The sequence below is a fragment of the Homo sapiens genome, chromosome 19 (assembly GCF_000001405.40).
Source record: "Homo sapiens chromosome 19, GRCh38.p14 Primary Assembly".
NCBI lineage: Eukaryota > Metazoa > Chordata > Mammalia > Primates > Hominidae > Homo > Homo sapiens.
In genome coordinates this window covers 57,064,905-57,079,323 of record NC_000019.10, presented here as the reverse complement: position 1 = coordinate 57,079,323, position 14,419 = coordinate 57,064,905, and the positions used below count along the sequence as shown (strand labels likewise).

The following is a 14,419-nucleotide window of genomic DNA, read 5'->3' as shown; positions in this document are numbered from 1 at the left end:
GGGCATAGATGCTGGGGGTGTCACAGGCACCTGCGGCAGCTGCTCCATGGAGAACCTGGGATTTCTATTTGTTTGGTTTTTTTGAGCCAGCAGCCACTTGCATGCCCAGGTCCTTTTTCGTTCTTCTACGAAAACCCCATTCAAGGAGACCTTGAATGAACCCTAAAGGCTTGAGTGAACCAGGAATATGGGGTGGGGTGGGAATTGCAGAATTCAATCCTTCCCCTTGTCCCACCACCCTCAGCCCAGGCTATTCTGACATCAACCACTCCTCCTCCCCTTCAGGGGACTCAAGGGATGTTTGCGACCAAGACTGTTGCTATGGAAACCACTGCAGTGTGGGGGACAGGATGGGGCAAGCAAGGCTTTCAGGCTGGAATTTTCCATGCCCTTGAGCACAGAATGCGTGGATGTAAAAGCCCCGTGTGGGCACAGAGCAGGGGTACAATAAATACCTGTATTTATTATTTGGGAAGAGATGGAGAGGCACAATCTGATCTTTGGTCACTGCTTTCCCCTCTGAAGCCTCGGTCCACTCTTCTGCAGCAGGTGTGATCACCATCCTTAGCTAGCAGGGCTGTTGGGAGGATCTGAGGACTCCCTGCCTGCCTGCCTGCCTGGGGTCTGCTACCAAGGTGGTCACCTGGTTCAGGTAGGGGCTTGTCGAAATGTCAATTCCTGGCTACGACCTGGACGTCCTGAAACAAAATATTTTGTGCAAAGTATTCATTCACCGTCACAATCTGCTGCTCTTTTTATTTTTATCCTGATATATTTTTTCTTAGTAGTTTTTAGAGCTGTGCTTTCCAATGTCAAAAGACAAAACTACAAAAAATTTTGTTCTATATGGTGCTACCTATGTACATATAGATTATGGTAAAATACGTATGCATATATGTGTGTGTCTCTATCCTTTCAACCTAAAAGGAAGAAGCTGAGGCAAAACTAATTTAAGAGTTTATTTGGGCCAAGCTTGAGGATTACAACCCAAGAGCACAGATTTGACTTCCCCTGATTCACACTCTGATTAGCAGCAGTTACAAGTGAATTTTAATTTTTATTTATTTTTATTATTTATTTATGTATTTTGAGATGGTGTCTTGCCCTGTTGCCTCGGCTCACTGTAACCTCTGTCTTCCAGCTTCGAGGAATTCTCCTGTCTCAGCCCCCCAAGTAGGTGGGACTACAGGTGCATGCTGCCATGCTGGCTAATTTTTGTGTTTTTAGTAGAGATGGGGTTTTACCATATTGGTCAGGCTGGTCTGGAACTCCTGACCTCAAATGATCCACCCGCCTCGACCTCCCAAAGTGCTGGGATGACAGGTATGAGCCACCGCACCCAGCCACAAGTGGATTTTTTTTTTTGAGATGGCGTCTCACTCTGTCACTCAGGCTGGAGTGCAATGGCGCGATCTCAGCTCACTGCAGCCTTTGCCTCCTGGGTTCAAGCAATTCTCCTGCCTCAGCCTCCCGAGTAGCTGGGATTACAGGTGTGTGCCACCATGCCCAGCTAATTTTTGTATTTTTAGTAGAGACAGGGTTTCACCATGTTGGCCAGGTTGGTCTTGAACTCCTGACCTCAGGTGATCCTCCTGCCTTGGCCTCCCAAAGTGCTGGGATTACAGGCATGAGCCACTGCACCCAGCCTCAGGTTAACTTTGGAATGCCCCTGGCTGAGGGGAGGGTCCATCAGTAGGTTGGGGGGCTTAGAATTTTATTTTTTTGTTTACAATTTACAGAAATAACATTGGTTAGTGATTAGGTGTGCATTGTGAGGACTCTGCGACCTTTTTCTCTCTTACCTAAATTCCTATCTAGGTGGCCCAGGTAGTCACACTCTACAAACCATAAAATCTTGTTAAGCAGGTTCTTTTATTAACGCAGTATCAGGTGGCTGACTTCCAACCCATCTCTGGTATAGCATCGTGTGATGGAGACCAGACCCCCTTAACTTCAGCATTTCTTTCTACTGAGTTGCTTTAAACAAAGTGTAACTCTTTCAAATTGCCAACTAAAGAATCCTTAAGGCTGGACTCAGTGGCTCACACTTATAATCCCACCACTTTGGGAAGCTGAGGCAGGCAGATTGCTTGAGCCCAGAAGTTTGAGACCAGCCTGGGCAACACAACGAGAACCCGTCTCTACAAAAAGTAAAATAAAATTAGGCGGGGGTGGTGGTGCATATCTGTGGTCCCAGCTACTTGGGAGGCTGAGCCGGGAGGATCAGTTGAGCCTGAGAGGTCAAGGCTGCAGTGAGCCATGGTCATGCCACTGCACAACAGAGTGAGAACTGTGTCAAAACACACACACACACACACACACACACACACACACACACACACACACCTCAAGAAACGTTTTCAGTATGCAGGAAGGAGTGAGAAAAAAGAATCTTTAAAACCTACTATGACTTGTAAGCCCCTGACTTCAAGATGTCCACGGGTTCAGGCCGAGCTCATGTATACCCTCAGTGTATTGATTTATGATTTTACCTGCAATTCCTGTCTCCTCGAAATGTGTGCAACCAAACCGGAACATGACCACCTCAGGCGCACCTCCTCAGGACCTCTGGAGACTGTGTAACCCCAGGCTTCGGTCACTCATCCTGGTTCACAATAAACCTCTTTAAATATTTGGCAGAATCTGGTTTTTACTGCTGACAATTGTTAAGCTATAGGGTATGGGTTTTAGTGTCCCACTGGGGACTGTTTAATTTGCAGCTACTTATGGCAATAGCAAGCAGTTTCAAGAGATTCTGAAAGCTGGGAGTAGGGTGTGACTGCTGCGTCATTTTAATGCTTCTCCGGCCCCGATCATTTGAAAGCCCTCACATTCCTCAGACAGAAGTTCTTTTCTTTCCTCAGTCTCCAGCCCTAGCTCTATAGCTATATCCACTTCAATATCTATTTATTATCTGTCTCAATAAGTTGTCAACTCCAATGAGAACAAAGACTACATCTGTGTTGGATGCTGCCGCCTCGCACAAGGTCTGGCAAACAGTAGGCAATCAACAAATATTTGTTGGTATAATCAGTCAATCAAATGACTAATCTTTAGACAACAAAGGCTGTTTGTATCATCGGTGCTGGCGGCTGCCACGGAACAGAAACCTGTGATTTCCACGCCTGTTGGCAAAGCACACATGGCTGGGTTTTGCCCTTCGTCAAGGACATCATTTTAAATGTGCACATTTTAAGTTTTAATATGCCCAACCTGAATCTCCGATGGGGTACAGTAGGCCTGCTCCCTCCCCCTGCTCGGCTTCTCCCCCATCGCCCTGCCCTGGTCCTTAGCAGCCTTCGCTGGGGGTCTGGGATGCAGGCAGGCTCTGCCTGTTGCTATGGAAACTGCATCGAGGAGATGGGGAGGAGGCTGAGAGGCACTCAGAGGATGGAACTTTCCAGGCTGTGTGTGGGTTAGAATCCTGAGCTGCCATATGAATGAGTGCCTATAATGATTTGTGTGTGTGTGTGTGTGTGTGTGTGTGTGTGTGTTAGGAGCGTGAATGAAAATACAGCTGGGCATGGCGGGTCATGCCTGTAATCTCAGCACGTTGGGAGGCCGAGGCAGGAGGATCATCTGAGGTCGGGAGTTCAAGACCGGCCTGGCCAACATGGTGAAACCCTGTCTCTACTAAAAATACAGAAATTAGCGGGGTGTGGTGGAGGGTGCCTGTAATTCCAGCTACTTGGGAGGCTGAGGCAGGAGAATTGCTTGAACCTGGGAGGTGGAGGTTGCAGTGAGCCAAGATTGTGCCACTGCACTCCAGGCTGGGCAACAGAGTGAGACTCTGTCTCAAAAAATAAAGTAAAACAAAACAAAACAAAATAAAGTACGGAATCATGGGAAAGTGACTTCACTTTTCTGAGCCTGTTTTCTCATCTAAAACTGGGTAAACATTTTTTTTTTTGAATCTGTAGGTTGTGGTGAGGATGACAGTGGGAAGCTGCTTGTGAATCACTGGGCACTATGCCTGCCACAGCATAGCCAGGATTTTTTTTTCAATGTGTCCCCAACTTCACTTGCATCAAATGGGGAGGATTAGGGAGATGGATGATTGAAAATGCAAAAATGAGTGAGGTGACTCATGCCTGTCATTCCAGCACTTTGGGAGGCAGAGATGGGAGGATCACTTGAGCTCAGGAGTTTGAGACCAGCCTGGGCAACATATGAAGACCTTGTCTCTACGAAAGAAAGAGAAAAAAAAATTAGCCGGGCGTAGCTGTACATGCCTGTAGTCCCAGCTACTTGGGAGACTGAGGCAGGAGAATCGCTTGAACCCAGGAGGGAGAGGTTGCAGTGAGCCGAGATTGTGCCACTGCATTCCAGCCTGGGTGACAGAGTGAGACTCCATCTAAAAAAAAAAAAAAAAATTTGCCGGGTGTAGTGGCACGTGCCTGTAGTCCCAGCTACTCGGGATGCTGAGGTGGGAAGATTGCTGGAGCACAGGAGTTGAAGGCTGCAGTGAGCTATTATGGCACTCCAGCCTGGGTGACTGAGCAAGACTCCGACAAAAAAAAAAAAAAAAAAAAGCAAATCCTGGTTACTCTCCAGACTCTGGAAGGTAAAGGACCCACCTCTGCCCCAACCTCCCCAGGTAGTAAGAGAATGTCTCTGTCTAGACCCAGAATCAAGGGAAGGGAACAGTAAAGTGGGAGGAGCAACCCGTGGGGACATGACTTACCTGGATGAAGAGCTCACTCCCGTGTTCTCAGACATTTCTGAAGCCCAAGGCAAAGACTTCCACCCCAGAGGCTGGGGAGGTCCTGCAGGGGGAGAGAGTGGGCGGGGCTTGTGTGTATTCAACAATGTGGAATGTCTCCATTTCCATAAAGATACAGCCTCCCCTCCTTGGCTCATTTTTCTTTTTTTTCTTTTCTTTTTCTTTCTTTCTTTCTTTTTTTTTTTTTGAGACAAAGTCTCGTTCTGTCGCCCAGGCTGGAGTGCAGTGGCGCGATCTCAGCTCACTGCAACCTCCGCCTCCTGGGTTCAAGCAATTCTCCTGCCTCAGCCTCCCCAGTAGCTGGGACTACAGGCGCTCGCCACCAAGCCCGGCTAATTTTTTGTATTTATAGTAGAGACGAGGTTTCACTGGGTGAGTCAGGATGGTCTCGATCTCCTGACCTCATGATCCGCCCGCCTCTGCCTCCCAAAGTGCTGGGATTACAGGCGTGGGCCACCGCGCCCGGGCCAAATGCAAGTTGTTTTTTTTTTTTTTTTGACACAGGGTCTCGCTCTGTCACCCAGGTTGGAGTGCGGTGGCACGATCTCAGCTCACTGCAGGCTCCGCCTCCCTAGTTCAAGTGATTCTCCTGCCTCAGACTCCTGAGTAGATTACAGGCACCTGCCACCACCCCCGGCTAATTTTTGTACTTTTAGTAGAGACGGGGTTTCATCATGTTGGCCAGGCTGGTCTTGAACTCCTGACGTCAAGTGATCCACCTGCCCTGGCCTCCCAAAGTGCTGGGATTACAGGCGTGAGCCACCTCACCTGGCCCTTTATTTTTCTTAAAATAAGTGATTCTGCCACGACACACTCACCAGAACGGTAAAAATGAAGAGATTAGCAACATCAAATGTTGGTGAGGATGTGGGGTGGCTGGAAGGAGCACACAGTGTTGGTGGGAGTATAAAATGGCACAACCATTTTGGTTGGAAAGGGTCTGGCATTTTCTTCAAATAAGTGACTCTTTTGGCCTCAATATTCTCAAGGTTGTAAAGTAACGTCACCTATGAAATGGCAATGGTCACCTCAAGCATGATCCTAATCAGACACTGATACAGAGTGGGGGCATTGGGAAGTAATAGGGAGGGGTGGGGAGTGTGGAAAAAAGGGAGAGAGTGTGTTTTGCTGAAGTGGGCAGTACCACCAGACACCACCCAATTGTTCCCAAGCTGAAATCAAACCCAGTGTTGTTAGCTCTTCTAATTTTTCAAGGGAAAATCCATATTTTATGGGTTTCAATGGCGCTTGAATTTTCATATGTTATTGGTGGACGTGCAACGTGGAACAACCTTTATGGTGGGCACTTTAGCAAAATGTGGATGCCTGTACTTTCTTACTGAGAAATTCCACTTCTAGAAATATATTGTACGGATTTACTTACGCATGTGTGAAGGAACATGCTTCTGTGGTAATCCACTGCAGCAGCATTAGCATTTGTTATGATGAAAGATTGAACACAATCTGAACATCCATGAGGAGGAGATAGGTTAAATGAGTTATAGGACAATGACACAATGGGATGCTCTAATTGTATATGAAAAGTGAGTATGCCGGCCGGGCGCGGTGGCTTATGCCTGTAATCCCAGCACTTTGGGAGGCCGAGGCAGGCGGATCATGTGAGGTCAGGAGTTCGAGACCATCCTGGCCAACATGGTGAAACCCCGTCTCTACTAAAAATACAAAAATTTTCTGGGTGTGGTGGCAGGTGCCTCTAGTCCCATCTACTTGGGAGGCTGAGGCAGGAGAATTGCTTGTACCTGGGAGGCAGCGGTGAGCCAAGATCGTGCCATTGCACTCCAGCCTGGGCAACAAGAGTGAAACTCTGTCTCAATAAACAAACAAACAAACAAATACACAGACTGGTCGGGCGTGGTGGCTCATACCTGTAATCTCGGCATTTTGGGAGGCCCAGGCAGGCGGATCACCTGAGGTCAGGAGTTTGAGACCAGCCTGGCCAACATAGTGAAACCCCGTCTCTACTAAAAATACAAAAATTTTCTGGGCATGGTGGCAGGTGCCTCTAGTCCCAGCTACTCAGGAGGCTGAGGCAGGAGAATCGCTTGAACCTGGGAGGTAGAGGTTGCAGTGAGCCAAGATTGCACCATTGCACTCCAGCCTGGATGACAAGAGCAAAACTCTCAAAAAAAAAAAAATTAAAAAATAAAAATAAATAAAATGGTGGGGAGGGCAGCTGACAATACGGTGTGCTCAGAATTATTCAAGAAGGAATGTGGAACGTGGAACAGACGTGGCTTCCGGGAGGGGTGTCGGGTGCCTTGGGATGAGGGCATGAGGTTTAATTTTCATTACACAATGTTTCCCCAGAAATTATTCCAGTCGCAGAGTTAAAATCACATCTTAAAATGTCATTTTGACTCTGCGAATGTATCACCACTTCACAATGAAGGAAATTAAATCCCAAACAACACGGGCTGCTTTACTCGTCTCCACAGAACTTTTCAAAGCCTGCCATCATATTACATATCGGGGTCCGCGGTGTTTTGTGCGGCAGCCCCATCTAAGCCAACCCTGTTAAGGAAGCACTGCAGGTATTTTCTTCATCAATACTGTCTCCCTAGAACAATGCCAGCAGCTCGAAATAGATACAGCATTAATAGATTCATAAAACTCTCATATTAATCATCTATACTGATCGAATTGATCTTTATGCAAAAATTAAGTGGTTTAATGAATGAAGGAGTGAAAGGGCGGACAGATATCATTTCTGTCACTAGTCATTTCTGGCGATCTGGGATTTCTACCAGAGGCTGCAGAGACCCGCACAGGCCTGTTTTTCTGCCCTGTTCTGCAAAGACCCCTGTCTGAGGATGCGTTTAACTGCATCAAAGTCAAGAGTGGACTATGAATGCGCCCAGCCCTCCCCATCCCCACCTGGCTCCTGGGAGGCTCAGTCCCCTGAGAGATCTCACCTGGCGACAGCTGTTGCCATGGAAACCGCGGAGAAGAGGAGGGGCTGTGCCAATGCTGGAGGGATGCGGGGCCTGGAATTTTCTAGGCTCAGGGCTTAGCCTGTGCATGCCTGCGGGTTCAGATCCCAGCCTGGCCTCACCGCGGGGACTCCCTAAAGACTTGGGGGTTGGGTACACAGAAGAGGGTCTGGGTGGAGGCTGCTTCTCCTCCACCCTGAACCCCCCATGGGCCTAGGGGGGCTAACCCAGGCTGGGTCCAAGGCAGGGTTTGCCAAGGATGCCCTAAGCCCCCTCCCTCACTGCAGAATCACCCGCAATGCGGATTAAACATGTGACTCCCGGGAGACACCTTAGAAAAATGTTTCTGGAGTCTTTCACGTCTGTCCTCATGCTAGTCATTTCTCTGTCTTATTTTCTCCAAATAACTTGTCTAGGCCTGAAATCCTTTTTTTAATTAATTAATTAATTTTAAATTCCTTTTTCTGTGATTCCCCATCCTTGTTCAGTGTCGGTGAGTTTCCTGAGCAGAGCTGTGTTGTTTTCTTCATGGCTGCACTCTCACTGCCTTCAATAGACTTTGGCATACAGCAGGGCCTCCATACACACGACCTGACTGCAATGAATGAATGAATGGATTCCTGCTTTCCTGTTCTTTTTTTTTTTTTTTTTGAGATGGAGTCTTGCTCTGTCTCCCAGGCTGGAGTGCAGTGTCTCAATCTCGGCTCACTACAGCCTCTGCCTCCCGTGTTCAAGGTATTCTCCTGCTTGTAGCTGGGATTACAGGTGCACACCACCACGCCTGGCTAATTTTTGTATTTTTAGTAGAGATGGGGTTTCACTGTGTTGGCCAGGTCAGGTCTCGAACTCCTGACCTCAAGTGATCCACCCTCCTCAGCCTCCCAAAGTGCTGGGATGACAGGTGTGAGCCACCGTGCTCTGCTATGCTTTCCTGCTCTATCATAATTCCACAGGAAGGGGTTGGAATGGAGCTTATTTTCTGGTTTCTTTTGGCCACCAAGGGAGGTAAAGTTAATCGTGACTCCTACCCACTTCTTCACCTTCCTCCCCAAAGGGAGGACTCAGGTTCCACGTCAGGGATGGGGCACTCAGTGGAGATCTGGGTTCTCACCGTGGGTCTGCAGGTGCCAGGCACACGCTCGCCTCTCTTACACCGGGGACGTGGCCTGGATTTGGGTCTGGGCTGGGCCACCCATTAGCAGTGCACCTCAGGGCCAGTCACTTAACCACCCAGTGCCTCAGTTTCCTCATCTGCAAAAAGGGCATAATGATAATGTCCACCCTGTAGGGTCATTATGAGGACTGAGAGGGAAACACAGGTGGGCATGCAACACGGAGCTCACACAGGATGGTGCTCTGTAAGAGTCAAAAGTCCTTAGAGTTCATGGTTTTTCATTTCATCAATGTCTCTTTTTCATATACATATATATTTCAATGATTCTAGATTGGGAGTGATTTTGTGCCCCAGGGGACATTTGGCAATGCCTGGAGGCATTTTTGGTTGTCACAATTGGGTGAGAGGCAGGGACACTCACGTTTCATAGGTAGAAGCCAGGGTTGCTGCTCAACATCCCACAAATGCACAGCACAGAGCCATCACCAAGAGTTATCCAGCCCCAAATGCCAATAGTGCCGAATTTGCGAATCCCTGGTATGTATACATTACATTTATAATAGTCTAAAGCAGGGGGAAATAAAGAAATATTATATGAGTCACAAATATCATTTAAAGTTTTCTGGTACCTATGTTAATAAAGTAAAAAAGAACAGGTAAAAATAATTTGAAGACTGTATCTTGGCCAGGCGTGGTGGCTCATGCCTGTAATCCCAGCACTTTGGGAGGCTGAGGCGGGTGGATCAACTTGAGGTCAGGAGCTCGAGACCAGCCTGGCCAACATGGTGAAATCCTGTCTCTACTAAAAATACAAAAATTAGCTGCGCGTGGTGGCGTGCACCTGTAATCCCAGCTCCTCGGGAGGCTGAGGCAGGAGAATCGCTGGAACCAGGGAGGAGGAGGCTGCAGTGAGCCGAGATCGCACCACTGCAGTTCAGCCTGGGGGGACAGAGCAAGACTCCGACTAAAAAAAAAAAAAGACTGTATCTTATTTAGCCCAATATATTCAAAATACGATGATGTAATCAACATGCAGCCATTGCACAACACTGTTAACGAGATATTTTCCAGTGCTTTTTGGTAACAAAGTCTCTGAGATCCGGCGTGTGCTTTTCCTTTGAGCCCACCTCAATTCCCCTAGCTCCTCTTCAAGCGTCTGTAGTCACGGTGGCCTCAGACCGCGGGACTGGACCTCAAGGGGCTGGACAGCGCTCTGGGCGAGACGCACCTGGTCAGTAGAGGGCGCCACAGAGTTAGTCTAAAATCTACAACAGGAAAGAAATCACAGGCAGAGCTTGAGAAAGAAACGGCATTAGACCCAGTCCCTTTTCCTCCCATGGAGAAGGGGAGCGGAGGGGAGAGGCAGGGGTGCGAGCTCATTTACGAGCTTTGTTGCTAGTAGGGGAGGTGGAAGCCAAGATGCTCATGCGTTGATGGCATGGGTGCAAACTCTCTTCCACCCAGACCTGTCTACCCCACTGACCCAGCCGTGTCTCCAGCCTTTGCCTGGATTTCCACACAGCCTCCTCTAGCATCCAGTTGGGCCCACAGGGAGCCATTGCCGTCCTGCCTGGACACAGAGTGTGACCCTGCCCTCCTGTGACCCATGGGGGCTCCTACCGCACTCAGGGTGGAAGCCAGGCTGCTGACTGTGGTGTAAAATAGACCCCCAGATCCAGCCTTTACCAAACCCTCCAGCCTCCTCTTACCACTGCCCAGCCCACCTCCTGGGCTTGGGGCTGTTACAGGCGAGGCTGTGTCCTCCAAGATGCATATATTGAAGTCCTCGCCCCCAGGCCCTCAAAATATGACTGTATTTTGAAATAGGGTCCTTGAAGAGGTAATTCAGGTAAAATGAGGTTGTTAGGGTGGTAGGCCTCATGCAATATGATTGACGTCTTTATAGGAAGAGATTAGGATACAGACACGCACAGAGGGACGACCACGTGAGTATCCAGGGTAAAGATGGCGTCTGCAAGCCAAGGGGAGAGGCCTCAGGAGAAGCCAATCCTGCTGACGCGTGGATCTCAGACTTCCAGCTGCCAGGACCATGAGAAATTTGATTTCGGTTGTAGAAGCCACCTGGTGTGTGGCGCTTTGTGATGGCAGCTCTAGAAAATTAATACACTGACTCGCTGAGCCCTTTTCTGCTTTCCAAAAACACTAAACTTTGCTTCTCGCGTGCACCATCCCATGCTTATCTGTACCCACCTTATCCTTACCCACTCCTCAGAGCCTCGCTCCTTAACAACAACAACAGCAGCAATAATAATAATAGCTGCCTGTGCTGAGAGTTTCATAGGATCATCTCACTTGATCTTTACAACAGCTCTCCGAGGTTGACACTATCAATATACTGTTGTTCCAGATGGGGAAACCGAGGCACAGGGCAGTTCAATGACTTCTTATCTGAGGTCCAGTAGCCAGGATGGAGTAGAACCAGGCTTCGGCATAGAGAGGCTGGTGTACTCTTCTCAGGCAACACATCGTGTAGACGTCTTCCTAACTGGGGCTGGCGCCTTTCTCTGCAGTGGCCCAGCCTGGAGTCCTCACCCTACTAGGATGTATGGCCATTCCTATGCTATGGGGTGGAGAGTTCCTCCTTGGGCATCACTACCTCCCCAGCATCCTCAGGGCTCAGCGCAGAGTACTGCTAATCATACAGATGTCATTAGCAGCCCGGGATGGAGAAAAGTAGCTGTAGAAATGATTACACAACCTACTCTGGGCCAGACCCTGTATTCAAGCATTTTACCATATTCATTAATTTGCCTAACAACCACATGAAGGGGGTAATTTTATGATGCTTAATTTACAGAGGTGGCCCGGGCCCAGAGAGGTTAAGTAACTTGCCTGAGAGCACACAGCTAGTAACTTGTGGAGCTGGGGCTTCAGCCCACGAGCCTGGCGCCAGAAAACTCAATCACAACAACTGCATCTACAGCCTGGCACAGGCCTCACTCCCTCTCCCTGTCTCTATCTCTCTGGACAACAGATCCTTCCACTTTATTTTATATTTTAGTGCTATTTTTATTGTAAATTCAATTCCATTCATTTTCTGAATAGGTGATACATTTAAAAGGTTTAGAAAGAGATTTCGTGAAGACTCTCTTCTCAGTTTTGTGGGCACCTGGTTTCCTTCCCTGGAGGCAACCAATGATACAAGCAAGAAAACAGAGGTGTCTGTGGACACACAGGAGGTGTGCTTATACATTTCTCCCCTGTGGTATAAAATTTGGCACATTAAATCCATTGTTTTGTATCTTGTTTTTTCACAAAAATATATTTTAGAGATCATGCCATTTTGGAACTTAAGCACTCCTGTGTTCCTTTTCTGTAGCTGTGTAGTATTCCATCTTTTATTTATTATTATCATTATTATTTGAGACTGAGTTTCGCTCTTGTTGCCCAGGCTGGTGTGCAATGGTGCAATCTGTGCTCACTGCAACCTCCACCTCCCGGGTTGAAGTGATTCTCCTGCCTCAGCCTCCCAAGTACCTGGGATTACAGGCATGCGCCACCACACCTGGCTAATTTTTGTATTTTTAGTAGAGACGGGGTTTCACCATGTTGGCCAGGTTGGTCTCGAACTCCTGACCTCAGGTGATCTGCCTACCCCGGCCTCCCAAAGTGCTGCAATTACAGGCGTGAACCACCTTGCCTGGCCTTCCTTTTTTTTAAAAAAAAAACTCTATTATTATTATTAATCAGTACCCCATAGATGCATGCCAATATCATATCCAATTTTTGACAAGCAAAAATTGATGAATTGATGAAATAAATAATTTTTGGTGAATGAGCGTGAAGACAGTTGGGGGTAATGATGCTACCAGGAGACAAGAGAAGCCTGCTTCTGCCGATGTGTTCAAGATCTGTGCATTTCCTGTGTAGGGGACCAGAATATGCTGTCCCCAGATGTGTCTCTTTGACATCAGGATTCTTTTGAGCTGATTCTTTTTTTTTTTTTGAGACGGAGTTTCACTCTTGTTGCCCAGGCTGGAGTGCAATGGTGCAATCTTGGCTCACTGCAACCTCCACCTCCTGGGTTGAAGTGATTCTCCTGCCTCAGCCTCCCAAGTAGCTGAGATTACAGGCATGTGCCACCACACCTGGCTAATTTTTTGTATTTTTAGTAGAGACGGGGTTTCACCATGTTGGCCAGGTTGGTCTCGAACTCCTGACCTCAGGTTATCCACCTGCCTCAGCCTCCCAAACTGTTGGGATTACAGGCGTGAGCCACTGTACCTGGCCATATCTATTTTTTTTTTAAGAGAATTGCTCGCAATTGTATTCCCAGTGGGTAATCCGGTGCCTAGCTCTAAAGAAGCAGCTACTTGATATTTTTAAAGGAGAATTTTTAATTATTTTTATGTACAGAAAACTCAGCAGTGTAGATTTAACCCAGTTTGGTGGCAAGTTCTTTAGTCTTTGCCTTTTCCAGCTTTGGCAATGCAAGCCAGGGATTTTGGACCCAGGATGTTGCCTCCCCAGTGACTACAGATCTCATCATATCTGTTAATTTAATTGGTCCTGGTAGCTTCCACCAGCTTAGCCAAAGCTCCTTTGTCTCCCAAGTTAACTGGCGTGAAGGTAACAGTGGTGCTGGTCTTCCTGTGGACTCAGTACCCCAGTCTTGCCTTCCCCTCATTAATGCAGTCAGGAACTCCCATCTTACAATCCAGGGCAGGCAGGAAGACAGACAGCTTGCTGGGATCCATGTCACACGCAGTCACCATCAGCTGAGCCTTCTTGCTGTGTGTGAACATGGTGGTGGCAGTGTTAACCCTGCTTGAAGGATGGGTGGTCTCTTCGTAGGGGTGTTCCCTTTGCTGACAGCTTTCTTCTTAGCCCAGGACAACAGTCTCTGCTTCTCCTTCTGCTTTACCTCTGGTGTGTACTGGGCCAGCTTAAGCAGTTGGGTGGCTGCGTGAGAGTCTGAGGCCTGGGTGAACTGGCTGATTGCAGGAGGCACTTTCAGCCACTCACGGAAAGAATGGTTCTTTGCCACTGCAACGTGAGACTGTTTGACAAAGCGCGTGAGGTCCGTTTTGGGTTGGATGTCCTGTCCAGTGCCAAGATTCTTATCTTAGGCCTTTTCTCAAACAGAGGATTCACCAGTTTCATGGTCTCCTGCTTCTTCATGACAGCAGGGACTGGGGCCACCTTCTTCTCCTTGGCATTTTTTTTTTTTTTTTTTTGCATCTTATGTGACTGGAGGAGAGAGTGGGTTAGTATTTTTAAAATAAAAGTTGACTCAGTCAGGCGCAGTGGCTCATGCATGTAATCCCAGCACTTTGGGAGGCCGAGGCGGGCGGATCATGAGGTCAGGAGATCGAGACCATAGTGAAACCCCGTCTCTACTAAACATACAAAAAAAACAATTAGCCGGGCATGGTGGCAGGCGCCTGTAATCCCAGATACTGGGGAGGCTGAGGCAGGAGAATGGCGTGAACCTGGGAGGCAAAGCTTGCAGTGAGCCGAGATCACGCCACTGCACTTCAGCCTGGGTGACAGAGAGAGACTCCGTCTCAAAAAAAAAAAAAAAAAAGTTGACTTGGGGGAAGAGTTTTTTTATATCACTAGGGTTTGCAGGAACATTGTAATTTCTAATAAGGTCTATCGAGGTTTACA

The 14,419-nt window shown here is 48.0% G+C and overlaps 1 long non-coding RNA gene and 1 pseudogene across 1 annotated transcript, besides 1 other annotated feature; both read right to left on the bottom strand.

The window, feature by feature from the left end:
- Positions 1–443: 443 nt before the first annotated feature.
- Positions 444–4,766, bottom strand: LOC105372475 (uncharacterized). Its single transcript, XR_936111.2, has 3 exons — positions 4,685–4,766; positions 2,493–2,605; positions 444–698 (listed from the first exon to the last, which is right to left on the bottom strand). It is a non-coding gene; the product is annotated as an uncharacterized LOC105372475 (long non-coding RNA).
- Positions 2,829–3,123: an enhancer, noted in NCBI's record as "tiled region #3098; HepG2 Activating DNase matched - State 8:EnhW". NCBI's record gives its function as "activates a minimal TATA promoter and a strong SV40 promoter by Sharpr-MPRA in HepG2 cells {active_cell/tissue: HepG2}" and the evidence as "EXISTENCE:reporter gene assay evidence [ECO:0000049][PMID:27701403]".
- On the bottom strand, positions 13,185–13,978 carry RPL7AP69 (ribosomal protein L7a pseudogene 69; annotated as a pseudogene).